Here is a 21,215-nt window from a genome sequence, read left to right on the forward strand (position 1 = left end):
TTTGAAAGCTCAGAATTTTGGCACATTCTTCATTGATGTATGAAAAGTTGTAACAAACAAGTATTTTGCTGTTTCGTCATTGCTTCAATAATATTGTACCTCATACTCATGACTCACAGATACCCTTTTTAGCCCTTGCCAACAAGCCAGGCATTGTTGTATTTGTACAACAGATACAAATAAAATTTGTATTTCCCAACACTTTAGCTGCATCTAAGTGCCCAATTTGTCCTAGCTTGTTCAGGACTTTACTGGTTTTAGCAATATAGTCCAGTACCCCAGAAATCCTTCCAACAATCCCAGACAAACCAGGATGTTTGGTTACCCTCTCTGCATCAGAATCACCTGGAGGACTTGTTAAAGCACAGATTCCTGGGCTGCACCCCTAGAGCTTTTAATTCAATAGGAGTGGGGATGGGGGCTCAAGATCTTTTATTTGTAACAAGCTCCCAGGCTACAAATCTAGGGACCTTGTTGCACTGACCAAAGACACAGGTCACGGTTTTTTTCCCCAACATTAACATAATAAAGCAATTGCGTCAATCCATAACCAACATAACAATGACAAATCAATGATGGATTCTTAGCAAAAACTTTGACCAAGGTCTCAAGTTTTTCTCCTTTTCTTTTATAGCAGTTCCCTGAACATGGCAGCTCTGTGGAGCTGTACCAGAGTTCATTCGTGGGAGGTAAGCTTAGAACTTGCCCCTTAGCCCTTCCAGAGGTTCATTAAGCATCTAATTTTTCATATTAAATCCCTTTCTGCTAAAACCAGCAAGAGTGTTCTGTTATCTGTAACTAATCTTGATGCACACATCATGGGGACACTGGGTCACAGGGTTTGATAAGTGGTAGAAGAAGGGGGAAAGAAGTTTGTGCACATTTCAGAGACAAGAGGAAAAGGAAAAGCAGAGATTTCCTGTGAGTGCAAAGGCCTGTCTAGGCAAAGATGCCCCTGCCCACCTTGGGCCATTTACAAGGAAAACACTTACAAACCCAGCAGTAGAAAACCATATCAATACATTCCCAAACAATTACTACAGTCAGCAGAGATGACATCATTCTCCTTCCCATCAGAACAATAAGCCTGGCTCTAACTCTATAAACAGTAAAAGCAAAATGTGTTTCTCTAACAGATGGAAATGAATAGGTTTGAAGTTGATAGTGATCTTTCTGTGGTCTAAAAGGCCTCACCCAATACAAATATCTTACCCTAGACAATAACAAATGTAAACACAACCAAACACAGTGAACCCCCTTGAGCCGAGTGAAGGCTGCCAGAACCAGAGACCCAGGTCCTGGCAAACTCAGACATTTAAGGACAATCTAGAAGAAAGGAGTCCCTAAATTTTCACACATCTCCAAAGAAATCAACTTCAGAGCTATTCCTTTTGAATTTTTATTTAAGCCTTAAAAGTTAATTCACCATGTAAGGTAGAGAGGCAAAAAGAGATGACAGATATACTCTCCACTACCAGGTCACTAATCTGCTCAATCAAGCATGGCAGGGAAGCAAGTAAACCATGAAATCTCAGTGTAGACGACCCTTGATTTTAACTCAAATATGCCGATTAAATCCTTGACATTGGATTATGCATATGTAAGGTACCAGTGTTAGATGTTAAAGCTAATATTTCTCCTGATGAAGCAGCACCTTTGCTAGGACTTAGTGAGTTGGTAAGCGTGCACTGACAACCCTGTCCTACAGCAGTGGCATCCACACACTCAGGGAAGTACCACACATCGCTATAGTCTCATTCTCTTGTAGTGTTACAGGCAACTTACACCATCTCTGATTCACTTAAAAAATTCTCAGCTGACTTGCAAAATAATTGCAACAGACTCTCTTTGTGTAAACTTGATTACTATTTTGTAAGGTCCCGTTTCTATAAGGCCAAGGAATCTGTGAAATCCGTATTTTTTTCCTTCTTTTAAAACTTGAATTTTTATCCCAATAGATACTTTTTACCCATAGGACTTAATACAAAGTATAAAATTGTCATATGTTATGGTTTTTACAGTTTTATTTCTGCTTTTCTTTCCTGCTGCACTTGCAATGAACTTACTGTAATAATTGTATCCATTCATTAGAAGGCACTTTATATCCAACAAATCTTCAAGTCACAGGGTTTGTAAGAGGAAAAGAGTGGTTAAGAATATAATGACTAGTTTCTACTCTTGAATATTTCCAATCTTTCCTCAACACAGCAGCAGGCCCTTTGTGAGATTTAAACCCAAACACGGCTCTCTCTGCTGAGAATCCCTCAATGGTTTCCCATTGCGTTCAGAATAAACACAAGCCCCGTTACAAGGCCTACAATAACAGGCCGCTCATCTAGGGTGTTATGTGAGTTAATAAATGTAAAATTCTTAGAAGTGTGCCTGGCACACAGCAAGTGCTCAGTGAATTCTAGCTGTCCTTCTCCTTCCTTCTCGCCCTTTCCCTCCTCCTCCATGCTTACCTGGCAATGCTTCCCATGACCTCTCCCTTGCCTCACTCTGCTGTCAGCCACCTTCTCCCTCCTCCAGTATGCTGCATTCACACTGGTCATCCTCCAGATTCTTGAACACATCAAGCTTTTGCCTATTTCAGAATCCTTCCCCAAGCGGTTCCTTCCCTGTCATCCAGGTGGCCACTTCTCATCTTTTAGGCCTAAATGGCTCCTCCTCAGAAGAACTTCCTTTTCTGCCTAATCTAAATTGGTCCCCCCTATTATTTTCCCACAGACTAAGTTCTTTTCTTTTAGTGTCCTAATTACAACTTGTAATTGATACTTGTTTGTTTTAAATGTTCAGTGTCATTCTTTCCCATCAGCCCTTAAACTCTCTCTGTTAGGAAAGAGGACAGATGTTTTGTTTGCTAGTTATTTAACACTGTGTTTGCCATCTAGAGGAAACTCAATTAGTATGGAAGGAGAAAAAGAAAAATTATTTAAAAGTAAATTCAATATTTATTAAATGTTTACCATGTGGCTAGGCATTCTACTAAATACTTAGAATGTATTAGCTCCTCTAATCTTTCAAATATCTATGAGCTATGTTATTATCTCTTTTTCACATTTGTAAAAAGTGGAACTCAAAGAATTCATGTAAGTCATACCGGTAATAAGTGTCAGAGCTGAGATTTGAACTGAGGTCTTTGTAGCTCCAAATCATTTGCTTTTCCTCTCATACCAAGTTGCTTCCAGTAACAAGGGAGTGGAAGTATGTGAAATTACACAATATGATAAATAGCTCCTTCTGCCTCATTTATGGCATGTAAAATTTCCCTGAGTAAGTGGTTCAGTTGTCCTTCTGGAATTGAAACATCAATGAGACAATTTTGCTGCCATGTAATGAGCTTTTCCCCGGGCATGTGCTATATCTTTTATCAGCCCAAGTAATACTTCAGGGCTTGTGTACTTACCATGTATTAATTGTATGACTTTAAAATATTGAGTAGTGCTCCCTCAAGGGCATGCTCCCTCAAGGGCTGTGTTTTCTGTCAGGTGCCATTGTGGACTTGGGTTTGTTAAATGAGAAAGTGATCAATTTCCAGAGCAACCAGAAGAATACCCTGCAGAGTGAGCTCAATGGAAAGAAAGCAATCAAGTGTTAAGGGGTAAGGGGAAATAATGGCAAGAGGTTGGGGATGGCGGGGAGATCTATTGGTTCCAAATCAGATGCGCTCAGTCTTAAAATCAGTAACATCTCAAGTTATACCAGTGATTACTCCCAGACTAAAGGCTCTTTGACTCCCATTTCATTTCCCAAATAGTGAGATGTTCTTGAATATCAAATTGAAAATTAGAAAGCCAAGAAAACAAGAGGGAAATAATAATATTTAACATTTACTATGCTAGGTCTTTTACATGAATTAACTTATTTTGTCCTCAAAAACCCTCATGGTAGACACTAATATTATTCCCAATAAACAGATGAGTAAGCTGAGGCACAGAAAGGTAAAATAAGTTGCAGTGTGGTCTTACTAAAAATTGTATTGGATGATGAAATCAGCAAGAATGATGGAATAAGAACCATTGAATATCATCTCCTCTACAAAAGCAACAAAAACACTAGAAAATATTATGTCAACTTCTTCAGAATCCTGGATATTAAACAAAAGCTTGCAACAATTCAGGAAGCATTAATTCAAGAAAAATGACTGAATCTTAACAAATTTTTTTTGACATTTTAACTTGCTTTGTTTCTATGCCTCTCTCCCACCTCTGTGGTAGCCTTGAAAACCAATAGCCCACTGTTACTGTGAAAACCAGAAGCTTCTGGGGGACACACATTAGGGTTGGAGTTCTTTCAAAGCCTCATTTTCAGAGAATTGTCATTGCTTGACCTGTCTGCGAATTCCCTGGAAAACCCCACTTGCAGAGTTTGTCTTTATCTGACCTACTAGAGCTTGCCCAGTGACAACATTTTCACCAAGAGTGTTTATTGAAAACAATCAGTGGCAGTTATATACAATGAAACAGCTATATGAAGCAGCAATAACAATTTGGGTAAGCAAAAAATCGGACCAAAAAAACTTAGAAAAATCTGGGGAATGACATTCCATAGGGGGCTTTGACAAGTTCCAACATATTCCTGGAAATCTGGAAGTCCATGCATGTGTATAGAGCTGTGTACAGGCCCAGGAAATACTTAAGAAAGTCCTAAGCTCATTTCTCTGGCTGACCTTGAGGCTCTGCACAAGCAAGAAGTAGAAATTTGGCTGGGTATAGTGGCTCACGCCTAGAATCCCAGCACTTTGGGAAGTTGAGGCAGGAGTATTGCTTGAAGCCAGGAGTTCAAGACCAGTCTGGGCAAAATAAAGAGGCCTCATCTCTACAAAAAATGTAAAAAATATCCAGGTATGGTGACACACACCTGTAGTCCCAGCTACTTGGAAGGCTGAGGCTGGAGAATCTGTGAGCCCAGGAGTTGAGGCTGCGGTGAGCTATGATTATGCCACTGCACTCCAGCCTGGGTGATACAGCAAGACCCCTATCTCTAAAAATAAAATAGGCCAGGCGTGGTGGCTCACGCTTGTAATCCTAGCACTTTGGGAGGCCGAGGCAGGCAGACCACCTGAGGTCGCGAGTTCCAGACCAGCCTTACCAACATGGAGAAACCCTGTCTCCACTAAAAACACAAAATTAGCCAGGCGTGGTGGTGCATGCGTATAATCCCAGCTACTCGGGAAAGCTGAGGCAGGAGAATCGCTTGAACCCGGGAGGCGGAGGTTGCGGTGAGCTGAGATCTCGCCATTGCACTCCAGTCTGGGCAACAAGAGCGAAACTCCGTCTCGAGAAAAATAAAAAGTAAATAAAAAATAAAAAGAGGTTGAGGTTGTAAATGGTGTGCCTAAGCATTGACAGTATGTCCCAATATGTACACAAAACCTCTTAGCAAAGGCTAGAACACTTACTGGTTTCAGGTATCTAAGGATATCTATATCCAATTATTAGCTGACCACAAAGCTGACTGAGCAGATTTCAATGGCTATACACTACAATGAATATAGACCTTGCAGAATAAGTTTAGAAATGCCATTAAACAAACAACAATAAGAAAAAACAGAAATAACAACAATCCTGGGGAAGAAGGAAGAATCAGATTTTCAAAGTTGCTATATTTTATAATTTAAAATGTCTAATTTTCAACAAAATAAGAGGGATATCTAAAAAATCAAGAAAGTGGCCGGGCACGGTGGCTCATGCCTGTAGTCCCAGCACTTTGGGAGGCCAAGGCGGGCAGATCACGAGGTCAGGAGATCGAGACCATCCTGGCGAACACTGTGAAACCCCGTCTCTACTAAAAATACAAAAACATTAGCCAGGCGTGGTGGCGGGCACCTGTAGTCCCAGCTACTCAGGAGGCTGAGGCAGGAGAATGGCATGAACCCGGGGGGCAGAGCTTGCAGTGAGCAGAGATCACGCCACTGCACTCCAGCCTGGGCAACAGAGTGAGACTCCATCTCAAAAAAAAAAAAAAAAGAAAAAAAAATCAAGAAAGTATGGCCCATACACAGAGGGAAACAAAAGTAGTCATTATAAATATTCACTAAGGAAGCCCAGATGTTGGACTTAATAGCCAACGACTTTAAAATACCTATTTAAATATATTCAACTAACTAAAGAAATATTATGTCTAAAGAATTAAAAGAATATATGAGAACAATTTCTCACCAAATAGAGAATATCAATAAGGAGATGGAAAGTATCAAAAAGAATTAATAAAAATTCTATAGTTGGAAAGTAGAACAACTGAAATTTAAAAATTATCTAGAGGGATTCAACAGCAGATTTGAGCTAGCAGTAGAAAGAATCATCAAATCTAAAGATAGGGCAGTTGACATTATCCAGTTTGAAGATTAGAGAGAGAAGAAAAAAGGAATGAAGAAAAATAAACAGAGCCTTAGACATCTGTGGGACACATCAGCATGTCAATACACTCATAATGAGAATGCCAGAAAAAGAGAAAAGAAACAAGAGCAGAAAGAATATTTACAGACATTATGACTGAAAACTTCCCAAATTTGATGAAAAACATTAATTTACAATCCAAGAAGTCACTACAAGCTCCAAGTAGAATAAAACTCAAAGAGATCCACCCATAGACACATTATTGTCAAGTTGTCAAAAGACAAAGATACAATTTTGAAAGCAACAAGAGGGAAGTGATTCATCACATACAAGTGATCTTCAATAAGATTAACAGATAATTTCTCATCAGAAACTGGAGGTCAGAAAGCAGAGGGATGGGGTGGGAGTGGGGGGGCATCCTGTCAACCAAGACTTTTATATCCAGCAGAACTAACCTTCGAAAATAAAGGAGAAATTAAGATAAACAAAAACTGAAAGAATTTGTCACTAGCAGACTTGTACTACAAGAAACACTAAAGGGAGTGTTTCAGGCTGAAATGAATAAAAACCAGATAGTAAGTCAAATACAAATGAAGAAATAAAGAGCACTGATAAGGCTGGGCTCAGTGGCTCACACCTATAATCCCAACATTTTGGGAGGCCAAGGCAGGAAGATCACTTGAGGCCAGAAGTTCAAGGCCAGCCTGGGCAACATAGCAAGACACTGTCTCTACAAAAAAATTTAAAAATTAGCCAGGTGTGGTGGCATGCACCTGTAGTCCTACATACTTGGGAGGCTGAGGCAGGAGGATTCCTTTATCCCAGGAGTTTGAGGTGGTAGTGAACTATGATGGCAACTGCACTCCAGCCTGGGCAACAGGGCAATACCCTGTCTCTGGAAAAAAAAAATAAAAGAGTGCTGGCAAAAGCAACTACATTGGCTGATATAAAAGATAGTATAAATCTTTTGTTTGTAATTCTTTTTTTCTTCCTATCTAATTTAAAATGCAACTATATAAAGTACTAATGTAAATCTGTTTTGTTGGGCAGATAATATATAGAGATGTAATCTGTATGACAACAATAAGACAAAGGAGTGGTGGGGCAGAACTATATAGGATAAAATGTGTGTATACTACTGAAATTAAGCTGGTATTAATCCTAACTAGATTGTTATAAATCAAGATATTAATTGCGGCTGGAAGTGTTAGCCTCCCGAGTAGCTGTAAACCAGCTGGTTTACAGCTACTCGGGAGGCTGAGGTGGGAGGATTGCTTGAGAACAGGAGTTTGAGACCAGCTTGAGCAACACAGCAAGACTCTATTTTTAAAATTTTTTAAATTTAATTTACTTTAAAAAAGATACTAATTATAATACCCAGGACAACTACTATGAATGTAACTAAAAACATGTATAGTAAAAGAAATAACAAGGGAATTAAGATTATACACCAGAAAATATTTATCACAAAAAAGGCAATAATGGATGAATAAAGGAATAAAACATAAAAAATGAATGGAAAACAAATAGAAAAATTACTTACATAAATCTTACCTTATCAGTAATTACATTGAATGTAAATAAATTGAACATTTTAATTAAAAGACAGAACTACATTTTGTAAAAAAAAAAACAAAACAAAACATGATCCAACTTTATGCCAGGTACAAGAGACTCCCTTAGATTAAAAGACACAAATAGATTGAAAGTTAAAATATGGGGAAAATATACCATGTAAACAGTAACCAAAAGAGAGATGAAGTGGCTATACTAATATCAGAGAAAACAGACTTTAAAATATGATGGTAAAAGACTCAATCCAGCAAAAAGATACAACAATATACATACATATGCACCTAACAACATGAAGCAAAACTGACAGACTTGAAAGGAAATGAAAATAAGTCAACAATAATAGTTGGAGACTTCAATATCCCACTTCTAATAACAGAACAACCAGACAAAAAATCAGCAAGAAAACTGAATACTTGAACAACATTATAAACCAACTAGACCCAACAGACATGGATGAACCTTGAAAACACTATGCTACACTTTTTCAAACAAAAAGTCACACATTATGTGATTCCATTTATATAGATTGTTTAGAACACAGAGTACAGAGAGTATATTAGCAGTTTCTGGGAGTTGTGGGGAGGAGAAAAAGGGAAGTGACTACTAATAAGATTTTTTTTTTTTTTGAGATGGACTCTCACTCTGTCACTAGGCTGGAGTGTGCAGTGGTGTGATCTCGGCTCACTGTAACCTCTGACTCCCTGGTTCAAGCGATTCTCCCGCCTCAGTCTCCTGAGTAACTGGAATTACAGGCACGCGCCACCATGTCCAGCTAATTTTTGTATTTTTAGTAGAGATGGGGTTTCATCACATTGGCCAGGATGGTCTCCATCTCCTCACCTCACGATCTGCCTGCCTCGGCCTCCCAAAGTGCTGGGATTATAGGTGTGAGCCACCACGCCCGGCCATAAGATCTCTTTTGAGGGTGATAAAAATGTTCTGGAATTTGATAGTGGTAATGTTTGCACAACAGTCTGAATATACTAAATACGACTAAATTATAAGCTTTAAAGGGGTAAAATTTTATGATATATAAATTAAATCTCAATAAAAATTATATGAAGTTGGGAGTTCGTTGTGTCTTAACACACCTTCAGCTATTTTCACTTGTGGATTATCTAGAAATACACCATGTATTATTCAAGACTTCTGAGGGTGCTCCATTACCAATTCATTACTTTATATTAGATGTTGCTGTCCCAGAGTTCTCTTTTAAAACATATATCAATTGCCTTAAGGGTAATTGCCATACGAAGTCTCTAACTCCCTCATGTGAGTGGATTTTTAGTCCCCAGAGAATGGGCAGAGCATGGGCAAAGAATGGGACACCAGCTTTTTCAGGCTCAGGACTCCATTTAGCCCGGAGGGGAGGAGAAAGAAACATTCCTATCTCCAATTATCAGATAACTCTGTGCCCTTAGAAATGAGTTTTAACCTTTCTAAGCATTTCCTTGTAATTTGCTAAGCGAAACTAATATTAATTGCCATTCATGTGTCACTGGAGTTTCGCTAAAATTTATGAGATATTAAGCCTGAGTCAACCAAGCTGGGAAGGGCAGTAATGGGGCCCAGCAGGGAAGGATGAAGAATGGAAAAGAAAGACAGAAGAAAAACCACTTTCTCTTTATCCACAAAATAATACTTGTTTGGCCCACATCATAGGGCTACTGCAAGGATCAAAGGATGTTGTGTCTGTGTAAGTGCTTTGCATCCACAATATGCCACACAAATGAGAGGAATCATTACTGTTTAATGAGCTAGAGAAGCAGTTCACTACATTATTAGTGGTCTGAGTTACTGTTCAGTTCTCACGTGCAGGATCTTTCCCAAATTTTTCATAGAAAAAATTGGTCTTTAAATGATTGGTGTGTTATAAATATGAAATAATAGCATTGTCATTAATGATTATAAATTATTCAGCAACTGTGACTGAATTACATAAAAAATTTGTCTTTAAAAGATTGGTATGTTACAAATATGAAATAATAGCATTGTCATTAATGATTATAAATTATTCAGCAACCGTGATTGAATGACATATCAACAAAAGTCTAAAGTACATAATCAAACGTTCTCAATATGTTGACAGAATTTGAGCAGAATCAAGACAAAGATTTAAAAGCACTTTGTTAATGGGAAAATGGCAAATAAATGCCAGTTATTATAATTAATTGAACTAAGAAACTTTTATTCATTTTAATTTTTAAGCTCATCTTGAAAAATATTAACCAATTTCTAATGCAGTCCCATGACAGTATTTATTGTGCCATCTGCTGGAAGTTTCTGAAAAATTGATGAGGTGAAGATGAACAAAATGATAAACGGCACAGCACATTGTATTTTAAGTACACATATTCCTATTCTTCACATATTAAAATGAATGTAGGTTAAGTTCCTGGCATGCATTTCTTGTATTAATATTTGCTATGTAAAACATTTTAATGCTAAATAAATGAATGTGTGTCTTGAATTACAGCATCATCATTCACTCATTCACCAATATGTTTTGAGTTCTTGCTGTCTCTGCCAGGCCCTGTGCTAAGAACCAAGCATGCAAGGAGGTATAAGTCACTGTCCCTGCTCACATGGCATTTAGGGCCTCCATTTGGTGGGGGAGAAGACAGATTCACAAACAACTAATGTAACACACTGGAAAACAAAAGCTCCATGGGGGAAACTGAGGAGGGGCCTCTCAAATCCAAGGGATGGTAGTTTTTTCCACAAAATATTGAAATCCACTATCTTTGCATAATTGGGGGAAAGAGAGAAGAATTATGGAAGAAAAATCAAACTAAGGAAATGAAGCCACCAGGCAAGTAGAAAATAAAGGTATAAAGAAAACAAAACTTTCTCCAAGCCTGTGAAACATCACAGGTGTCAAGCAGTCTCCGTGATCATCAGATTAGATTTAAATTAGTCTAGCCTTCTGCCTATTAAATGCACCATAGATTTCAATACAGAATATATAAACTCTGCAGACCAATATATTTATGATGAAACCCCAACATAATTTGCCCTACAATGAATTCAGACATAAGACAACTGTAATGAGCTTTCATCTTACTCAGCAGGCTCATCCCAATCAGTTTGCCAACCCCACAAAAATGCAATCCTGCATTTTACATGACTGAAATTTTTGGACCCCACCCAGGGAGCTTTAGTGGGGACTAACAGGTAGGTGTAATAAAAGTTATCTTTAGACCAGTGGTTCACAAACTTCAATGTGCATAAAAATCACCTGGAGAGCTTCTTAAAATGCCGATTGCTGTCCCCTTCACCCCCAACCCCGAGGGTTTCTTATTCAGAAGGTCCTAGGCATCCTCTGAGAATTTGCATTTCTAACAAGTTCCCAGGTAATGTTGATGCTGCTGGTCCAGAGACTACACTTGAGAACTACTCCCTCAGACTATGGCAACACAAAGGAAACAAAGACAAAATATTCATCAGCTTTATAAGCCTTTTAAAATAACTTATGGTGGTTTGTTCTGATTTTAAAAGAAATACAGGGTATATTGAAAAAACTGAAAAATAGAGACAATTACAAAGAAGAAAAGGAAAATCACTTAAAATTTCAACACCCAGAAATAACCACTATAAACATTTAGTATCTTTTGTTCCATATTTCTTTTGATGTGTGTATGTCCACACTTATACAGAATTGAACTCATTCGGTGTACATAATTTTGGCATCTGATTTTTTCTTTGAGTATCCTATTTTGAGCATATTCCATATTATCTAAAAATTAGCCAATAGAGAGTACATCAATGATCAGGAAATTGCCTTGAGCAGCTAGGGTTTAAAACATGGGACCTCTGAAAAACGGGTAGAACACACCACAGACTTGACCCATTCAGGAGGCAAGGAAGCTGGGGAATTTATCTTATATTTTTTCTTTGTCATTAGTTGAGGGCCAGTGCTTCCAAGACTATTAACTTTTCAATACTGCTGGCCTTCCAATGCTTGGCCAAGAGAAAGCCCTAAGAAAGTCGCAGGTGCTTCCAATAGGATGCCACTGGTAGGTAAAGGAATGATGAGTAAGTATGGATAGGCTATGGGCGGGTAATCAATAACAGCTGCTACAGGCAACACATCTAGAGTGAGGATGAAGCCTCCCACAGAGAGGACTTTGAGAAGCACATCCATCTAGTCTTCTATTACGTTCATTTGTTTTTTAAAATATCAGTCCTATTATTAAACAGTTACATCTTGCATTCTTTCTATTGAAACAGTTTTTATAGAGATTGTCTTTCAGGAGATGTTCTTATGAACTAAGCCTTACATCCTGCTGTACTCGTGGCTTGGAAATGAAGGACCCTCCATCAGCTTGCTCTGACCCCATACCTTCCAGCATTCCTTCATGCTGCATTATTTTCTGTAGTAGTTCAGCGTATCTTAGACTGCCTGTGGTTGTCTCCATTTTAGCTCTCTTTCTACAGGTGGTAGAGTTTTCTGAGATTAATGTATTCCACTTTTCTCCAAATCGTTTAAGCTGTCTTCCAGTCAGTACCACCTCACTATGGGTAGGGCAGCTCCAAGCTGTTTCCATGTTTATCTTCTTAGTGTGATTTTAGGGATGCTGAAAATCTTGCCTGCCCCAAATTCTGGCCTGGTAGAGACAGCCTGTAAGAGAGTTCATGGGAACAGTTATATCTAGGGGCCAGTTATTCTATAGCAATTCCCTTTTGGAGTCCCTGAGCTGTCAAGAAAGTCTTAGCTGAGCTATGGGAAGTTAAAAGGAGAATCCATGCATGTGGGAAACGAGAGTCAGAGTTCCCTGGGGGCACTGTGGTGGTGACAGCTGTGATGAATGTGAGATTCCTAAGGGAAAGGAAGATCTCAGAGGACAGGAGATAGGGCTCTAACATCGGCTGCCTTTCAGTGTCAATTTCCCACCCACCAATAGCTTTAGAGGATGACAGTGTGGTTTTATTGAGGAAGATGATAGTTCCTTCTATGTGTACTGAACATCAAAGGCACATGAACTAAACAATGGATAGTAAATGAATCTCCAAAAGCAAGAGATGAGTTCCCTTGCTCAAGGAAGTGATACTGGACCAGCCTTAGCCACCATTAAAGGAGCACTAGAGAATGGTAGAAGAGCAGTAATAGACCACTCAGGCATTGAGGATAGAAAGGGTTATACTTGCTTGAGTTCAAACCACTTTGAGATCCTCAATAATAACTGTGTCTCTTATATAAGGCTCAGCAGTATTCTTCTATGAAAAATAAGCAAGTCACATAAACCCTCTGAAGCCAAGGCTTCATCATACATAAAATGGATGTTGGGACTATACTAGGTCCTATAAATGGCATCCATATTTCCCATTCAAGTTCAAAACCAATCATGAGATAGCCAAAGAGGTCAGATAGCTAGAAACTACAATGCCAACTTTATTACTAAAAGAGCTGATACTGGAAAACCTGGGCTTAGGTGCACAGCAACAGTGGGCTTCCTAATACTGCATGCTAGAATTGGGCAGGCATATTCACCCAGTCACTGGCTCAGATGGACAGCAGAGACCTCTTCATTCCTTCCTTCAGGCATGGAGAGGCAGGAGTAAATGCACACTAGCTGTTGGTGGGCAGATTTGACAGAGACAAAGACAGAAATGGGAGAGAAATAGGAGAGAAATGGATCAATAGTGCTTGTAAAGATCTTTCTTCCAAACTCTTCCTGTAGGGAATAGAAAGTTACTGGGTGTATTGTACTAATGAAAGCTTCTCTGCCTGGAGACAGGCAGAGTAATAGGAATAAGCAATCATCCTCTCCAATAAGGATAATCCTACTTACTTGGCAGAGTTTGCTGCAAGGCTTAAATGAGGTAAAATCACATTCGTGGTTCATCACATGGGCTTAAGCTTCCGACAGCTCTGAATTTGGAACCATGCTCTGTAACTATTAGCTGGCCTTGGCAGAATACTAAACTCTTTAGCCTCAGTTTCCTAATAAATAAAATGAACATAATAATTGTTTATTTCAGAAGGTTGTCTTAAGAATCGACAAAGAGCATTTAGCACAGAGCTGGGCACATAAGAACTCCATACCTACTAGATATTTAATCATATTAAGGCATGTAACACAGTATCTAGCACATGGGCTTACTAAATAGCAGTGGTGGTGGTAATTATTGTTGTTGTTACTTTTATTGGCCTAGAATTGTTCCTAGGCCTCCTAAAATGCTATTATTTTCTAGGAAAGGAGGTCTTTTCAGTACTGTTGTTAAGACTCCTTTCATTGGTTTTGACTTCTAACTTCAACACAGCCCTACTTGCAAGGAGTCTATAGAAACTATCAGCTGAGTCAGGACCATTTCCTGAGCCTTTCCCAACACCTCTGCTATTTAGAGGTCAGATGTCAGCTGCAACTCAAGAAAAAGATGCCCATATTAGGAGAACTCTCAGATCCCCATGGAGCTACATTGCCCAGCACCATCTGTGTTGGTTTCATGCTGTTAACACTCATCAATTCCCAATTGACAGCAGCACTGGTTCTATTCCAGTAATTGTGACAAAGAACATAATACTCAGAAACTCCAGGGGCAAAGAGATGTATGTGTTCACTTAGTGTGGATAAGGGATTTTTGCTCTCTAAACTACCAGAGATCTAATAAACATTCCTTGAACCTGTGATACAGTGTCCTATATCCAACTGTCTCACAATCTCTTACTTTTGTTAAAACAGCTTTACTAAAATATAATTCACATACCATATAATTCACCCATTTAATTGTTTTAGTAGAAACACAAGGCTGTGCAACCATCATCACAATCTAATTTTAGAACATTTTTGTCTCCCCTGAAAGAAACCCAGTGTCCATCAGCAGTAATCTCCATTCCCCTGTTAGGCCCTCTCTAGCCCCACACAAATGCTAATATATTTTCTGTCATTATACATTTTCTTATTCTGAACATTTTATATAAATGGCCACATATAAAATGTGGTCTTTTGGCTCCTTTCACCTAGCATAATGTTTTCAAGGCCCATCTATGTTGCAGCGTGTGTTAGAACTTCATGCCTTTTTATGGCCAGATAATATTCCATTGTATGAGTATTCTACATGTTATTTATCCATTCACCAGTTGATGAAAATTTGGGTTGTTCCTACTTTTTTTGGCCGTTCTGAATAATGCTGCTCTGAACATTTGAGTACAACTTTTTGTGTAGACATAGGTTTTTAATTTCTCTTGGATAAAATTTCTGGGTCATTTGATAACCTTAATTTTTTAAAGAATTGCCAAATTGTTATAGAAAGCAATTGCTACATTTTACATTCCTACCAGCAAAAATGAGCATCCCAGTGATATAATTTGGCTCTGTGTTCCCACCCAAATCTCATGCTGAATTGTACTCCAGTGTTGGAGGAGGGGTCTGGTGGGAGGTGACTGAATCATGGTTGGGGGATTTCCCCTGTGCTGTTCTCATGATAGTGAGTTCTCACAGAATCTTGTTGTTCAAAAGTGTGTAGCACCTCCCCACTTTGCTCTCTTCCCCTTCCTCTAAACATGTAGGACATGTCTGCTTCACCTTCACCTTCTGCTATATTCTAAGTTTCCTGAGGCCTCCCCAGCCATGCTTCCTGTACAACCTGTGGAACCATGAGCCAATTAAACCTCTATAAATTATCCTATTACAAGAAGTTCTTTTTAGCATTGTGAAAATGGACTAATATAGAAAATTGGCAACAGAGAGGTGAGTCATTGTTATACATATACCTGAAAATGCAAAAGCAATTTTGGAACTGGGTAACAGGCAGAGGTTGGAACAGTTTGGAGGGGTCAGAAGAAGAAAGGAAGATGAAGTAAAGTTTGGAGCTTCCTAGAGACTTGTTAAATTGTGACCAAAATGCTGACAGTGAAATGGACAATAAAGTCCAGGCTGAAGTTGTCTCAGATGGAGATGAGGAACTTATTAGGAATGGAGCAAAGGTCACCTTTGCTATGCTTTAGCAAAGAGACTGGTGGCATTGTGCCCATGCTCTAGGGATCTTTGGAACTTTGAACTTGAGAGTGATGATTTAGGGTATATGGCAGAAGAAATTTTTAAGCAGCAAAGTATTCAAGAAGTGACCTGGCTGCTTCTAATATGGTCGTATGCATGAGCAAAGAGATGATCTACAACTGGAACTTGTATTTTAAAGGGAAGCAGAGCATAAAAGTTTACAAAATTTGCAGCCTGACCATGTGATAGAAAAGAAAAATCCATTTTCTGGGGAGGAATTCAATCCAGCTGCAGAAATCTGCATAAGTAAAGAGGAGCCAAATGTTAACAGCCAAGATAATGGGGAAAAGAACTGGAAGGCATTTCAGACCTTCACAGCAGCCTCCCTGCCACACAGGCCCAGAGGCCTAGGAGGGAAGAGTAGTTTCAGAAGTCAGGCCTGAGGCCCTGCTGCCCTGTGCAACCTCAGGACATTTCTCCCTACGTCCCAGACAGTTCAGATCCAGCCTTGGCTTAAAGGGCCCCAGATACATCTCAGGCCACACTGCTCCAGAGGGTGCAAGTCATAAACCTTGGTGGCTTCCATGTGGTATTAAGCCTGCAGGTGTGCAGAGGACAAGAGTTGAGGCTTGGGAGCCTTCATCTGGATTTCAGAAGCTATATAGAAACATCTGGATGTCCAGGCAGAAGTCTGCTGTGGGGGTGGAGCCCTCATGGATAACCTCTTCTAGGGAAGTGTGGAGGGGAAATGTGGGGTTGGAGTTCCCACACAGAGTCCCCACTGGGGCACTGCTCCTCTGTGAGGAGAAGGCCACAATCCTCCAGACCCCAGAATGGTAGATCCACTGACAACCTGCATCATGTGTCTGGAAAAGCCACAGACACTCAACACCAGTCCATGAAAGCAGCCCTGGGGACTGTACCCCACAGTGGCACAGGGGTGGAGGTGCCCAAGGCCTTGAGAGCCCACCCCTTGCATCAGTGTGGCCTGGCTGTGAGACATGAAGTCAAAGGAGATTATTTTGGAGCTTTGAGATTTAATGACTGCCCTACTGGATTTCAACTTGCATGGGCCTGGTAGCCCCTTTGTTTTAGCCAATTTTTCTCCCTTTTGGAATGGGAGCATTTTCCCAATGTCTGTACCCCCCATTGTATCTTGGAGGTAACTAACTTGTTTTGATTTTACAGGCTCATAGGCAAAAGGGACTTGCCTAATCTCAGATGAGACTCTGGACTTAGGCTTTTGAGTTAATGCTGGAATGAGTTAAGACTCTGGGGGACTGTTGAGAAGACATGATTGTGTTTTGAAATGTGAGAAGAACATGAGATTTGGGAGGGGCTGGGGGCAGAAAGATATGATTTAGCTCTGTGTCCCCACCCAAATCGCATGTCAAATTGTAATCTCCAGTGTTGGAGGAGGGGCCTGGTGGGAGGTGACTGGATCATTGGGGCGGATTTCCTCTTTGCTGTTCTCACGATAGTGAGTGAGATCTAATGAGATCTGGTTGTTTAAAAGTATCTAGCACCTCCCCATTCACTCTCTTCCTCCTGCTCCAGCCATGTAGGGCATGTCTGTTTCCCCTTCACCTTCTGCCATGACTGTAAGTTTCCTGAGCCCTCTCCAGCAATGCTTCCTGTACAGCCTGTGAAACCATGAGCCAACTAAACCTCTTTTCTTTATAAATTACCTTGTCTCTGTAGTTCTTTACAGCAGTATGAGAACAAGCTAGTATACACATTTTCTCCACATCCTCACCAACATTTGTTATTGTCTTTTTTTTCTCATAACCATACTAGCATGTGTGAAGTGGAATTTTGTTTTAGTTTTTATTTCCATTTTCCCAATGATGTTGAGCATCTTTTCATGTGTTTATTGGCCATTTATATATCTTCTTGGGAGAAATTACTATTTAAGTACTTTCCTCATTTTTTACCAGGTTATTTGTTTTATTGTTGAGTTGTAAGAGTTTTCCATATGTTCTTGATACAATAACCTTATTAGACACGTGATTTCCAGATTTCTCCCATTCTGTCAGTTATTTTTCATTGTCTTCATACTTTCTTTGAAGCACAAAAGGCTTTAATTTTTCGGTAGTCCAATTTATTTATTTTTCTTTGGTTTCTTGTGCTTTAGGTGCAATATCTAAGAAACCACTGCCTAACCCAAGTTCATAAAGATTTACTCCTATACTTTCTTCTAAGAGTTTTATAGCTTTAGCTTTTACATTTAGGTCTTTGATGCATTTTGAGTTAATTTTCGTGTATGATGTGAATAAAGGTCTACATCCATTCTTCTGCATGTGGATATCCTTTGCAGAAAAGACTATTCTTTCACCTATTGATGTCAAAACTAAACTAACCAGGGATTTATGAGTTTATTTCTGGACTCTCCATTCTATTCCATTGATCTATATGTCTATCCTTATGCCTATAACACACAATCTTGATTACTTGAAGTTTGTGGTAAGTTTTGGAATCAGGAGTGTGAGTACTCCAAATTTGTTCTTTTCATGTCATTATTGTTTTGGCTATTCTAGATATCTTTCATTTCCATATGAATTTTAGGATCAGGTTTTCCATGAGGTGTATACCATAAGTTTCCATATATTATGTTTTGTTTTCATTCATCTTGAATATTTTCTAATTTTCCTTGTGATTTTTTTCTTCAAACCATGGTTAATAACATGTTGTTTAATTTTTACATATTTGCCAGTTTCCCATGTCTGTTATTGATTTCTAATCTAATTCCACTATGATTGGAAAAGATACTTGGTATTATTTCATTCTCCTTAAATTTATTGAGGTTTGTTTTGTGACCTACCATATAGTCTATTATGTTCCATGTTCACTTGAGCAAAATGTGTATTCTGTTGTAAATGTGTATTCTTGAGCAAAATGTTGATGGAGTGTGTCCTATATATCTCTGTTAGGTCAGGTTGGTTTATGGCCCCATTCAACTCTTTCATCTCCTTATTGATCTTCTGCCTCATTTTTCTATCCATTATTGAAACTGGAGTATTGAAATCTCCAACTATTATTGGGAATTCGGGGGGAGGTTTTATTGTCATTATTGTTGTTTTGAGACAGGATCTCACTGTGTTGCCCAGACTGTAGTGTAGTGACCATTATAGTCCACTACAGCCTTGAACTCCTGGGCCCAAGTGATCCTCCTGCCTCAGCCTCCCAAGTAGCTGGAACTATAAATGCACACCACCAAGCCCAGTTTATTGTTTTTTGTAGAGATGGGGTCTTGCTATGTTGTCCTATTGCCTTCTGGCCTTCACTGTTGTGGTGAAAAACTGGCTGTTAATCTTAGGATTTCCTTGTATGTGATGAATTATTTTTATCATGCTGTTTGCAAGACTTTCTTTTTGTCTTTCCACATTTTAAAAGTGGAAAGTGATTGTGTTTATCTTACTTGGAATTCACTGACCTTCTTAGAGGTATATGTTTTCTATCAAATTTGGGAAATTTTCAGCCATTGTTTCTTCAAAAATGTTTTCTGTCCTTTTTCTCCTCTAATTTGGTGACTCACACTAATGTATATGTGGGTGTCCTTAATAGTGTCTCACATTTTTCTGAGACTTTGTTCCTTGTTCTTTATTCTTTATTCTGTCTGTTTTTCAAACTGAATCATCTCAAAAGATCTATCTTCAAGTTCAATGTTTCTTTCTTCTACAAGCTCAAATCTACTCTTGAACCCCTCTAGTGAATTTTTGATTTCAGTTATTGCAATTTTCAACTCCAAATTTCCACTTGGTTATTTTAAATAATATCTGTACTTTTATTGATATTCTCTATTTTATGAGACATTGTCATCATACCTTCTTTTAATTCTTTAAGTATGGTTTTCTTTAGCTCTTTTAACATATTTAGAATTGCTTCTTTAAAGTCTCTGTCTGCGTAGTTTATCATCTGGGTCCTTTTGAAGTCAGTTTCTATTTCTACTAATTCTTTTCCTATGTATGGGTAACAGTTTCCTGGTTCTTAGTATGTCTCATAATTTTTTTGAAAACTGGAAATTTTAATTAATGTAACAACTCTGGATACAGATTCCCTCTCACCCCACCCCAGGAGAGTGTTGTTTTCCTTGTCATTTGCTTATTTGTTAGGTGATTTAGCTGAACTAATGCCATGACGTCTCTTTCCCCTGCAGTGTGCAGCCTCTGATGTCTCTGCTCAGATTTTTTTCCCCTTGATTTTATCTTTTAACCTGGATACCTACAGATTGTCCTTGGATTGGCATAAGCAACTTACTGGTCAAAGGTTGTGCTTAAGTTCATTCAGCTAGTTAGATTTGTACTCTAATACTGGATGTATGTGTGATTTGTAAACTATTGTCACAATTCAGGGAGTTTATTTTTATTTATTTTTGTCCTACATTTAGCCAGTGATAACTAGCTTGAAGATTCCCTCTCTGATCATTCCTAGGAGGACAAAGCTTTGGGCATGCACACATTATTCCAGAGAGCCAAGGATGACTATGATTATTTTTAAGCCTGACTTCCTAGGAGTCATCCTTGTGGCAAAGTAGTATATTGTGTAGTCAGTATTTGCTCATGGGGTTATGTTTAAGTCACTTGTGTTGATGAGTCTGTGTGCAGGTTGGGGAATGCTTTCAAGTCTGTGCATGTCTTGCTCTGATTGCTCCTGAGTGGGTGCAACCTAGCATAGGTACACAGCTTTCCTGATCCCCAGAGTTGTCTGTGATCCCAGAAGAGCTCTTCTTAGTTATCTCTTTGCCGTCTCTTGGTTTTTCTGCCACTTTGCTTGTGGCAGAGCTATCAGCCTCCTCTTAATTGTTCTCCACTAAGATCTTCACTGTTTTCAACAAGGCTTTTCTCTATTCTCTTTTCCAAATAAAATCGGTTCCTCTGGCAGAGCTCTTTGTCCTTATGATCTGCCTTTCCTTCTGTGCAAAAATCCTATACAACTGCAATGAAGCTGAAGATAGAGATATGCTTTATCTAGTGTGGCACCCCCACCCTATCAGTGGACATGTGGGCAGGTTTACCAGCCTGTGGTCTTTTGGACTTGTTTCTTCTGGTATGGACCCTTTATTTTATGAGTTGGGGTAGGGATGAGTTGTGGTCCCAGTATCTTTTGTCTGCAATGCCTGAGATAGAGCTTCTGCTTATCAATAGTGACTGGAAGGCAGAATAGAGACCCAGTTCTCTCAGCCATGGCTGTCCAAAATTACCTTTTTCTGCAGAATTACATACATTAAATACAACTCTTTTTAATTACATACATTACATACACTAAAATAATTTGTCTGCAGAATTACAGAGATTCTGCAACATGGTACTGAGGGTTAGGGGAGAGAATTTCTAGTGGCCTGCCCTTTCATGGTGAACCATGA

At 39.0% G+C, this 21,215-nt stretch overlaps 1 long non-coding RNA gene across 4 annotated transcripts in view; it reads right to left on the minus strand.

The window, feature by feature from the left end:
* The window catches only part of LOC105369147 (uncharacterized), a 55,281-nt gene that overhangs the window by 11,449 nt on the left and 22,617 nt on the right, over positions 1–21,215 (minus strand). For 2 of the 4 annotated variants that reach the window (NR_148214.1, NR_148215.1), the window contains exons 3-4: positions 13,405–13,486; positions 11,459–12,534 (exon numbers count right to left, since the gene is read on the minus strand). The exons of the other annotated variants lie outside the window; for them this stretch is intronic. This is a non-coding gene — a long non-coding RNA (uncharacterized LOC105369147). Of the gene's footprint in view, positions 1–11,458; positions 12,535–13,404; positions 13,487–21,215 lie in introns of those variants that run through there. 4 annotated transcript variants of the gene reach the window in all.

This window comes from Homo sapiens, chromosome 8, assembly GCF_000001405.40.
Source record: "Homo sapiens chromosome 8, GRCh38.p14 Primary Assembly".
NCBI classification, from domain to species: Eukaryota; Metazoa; Chordata; class Mammalia; order Primates; family Hominidae; genus Homo; species Homo sapiens.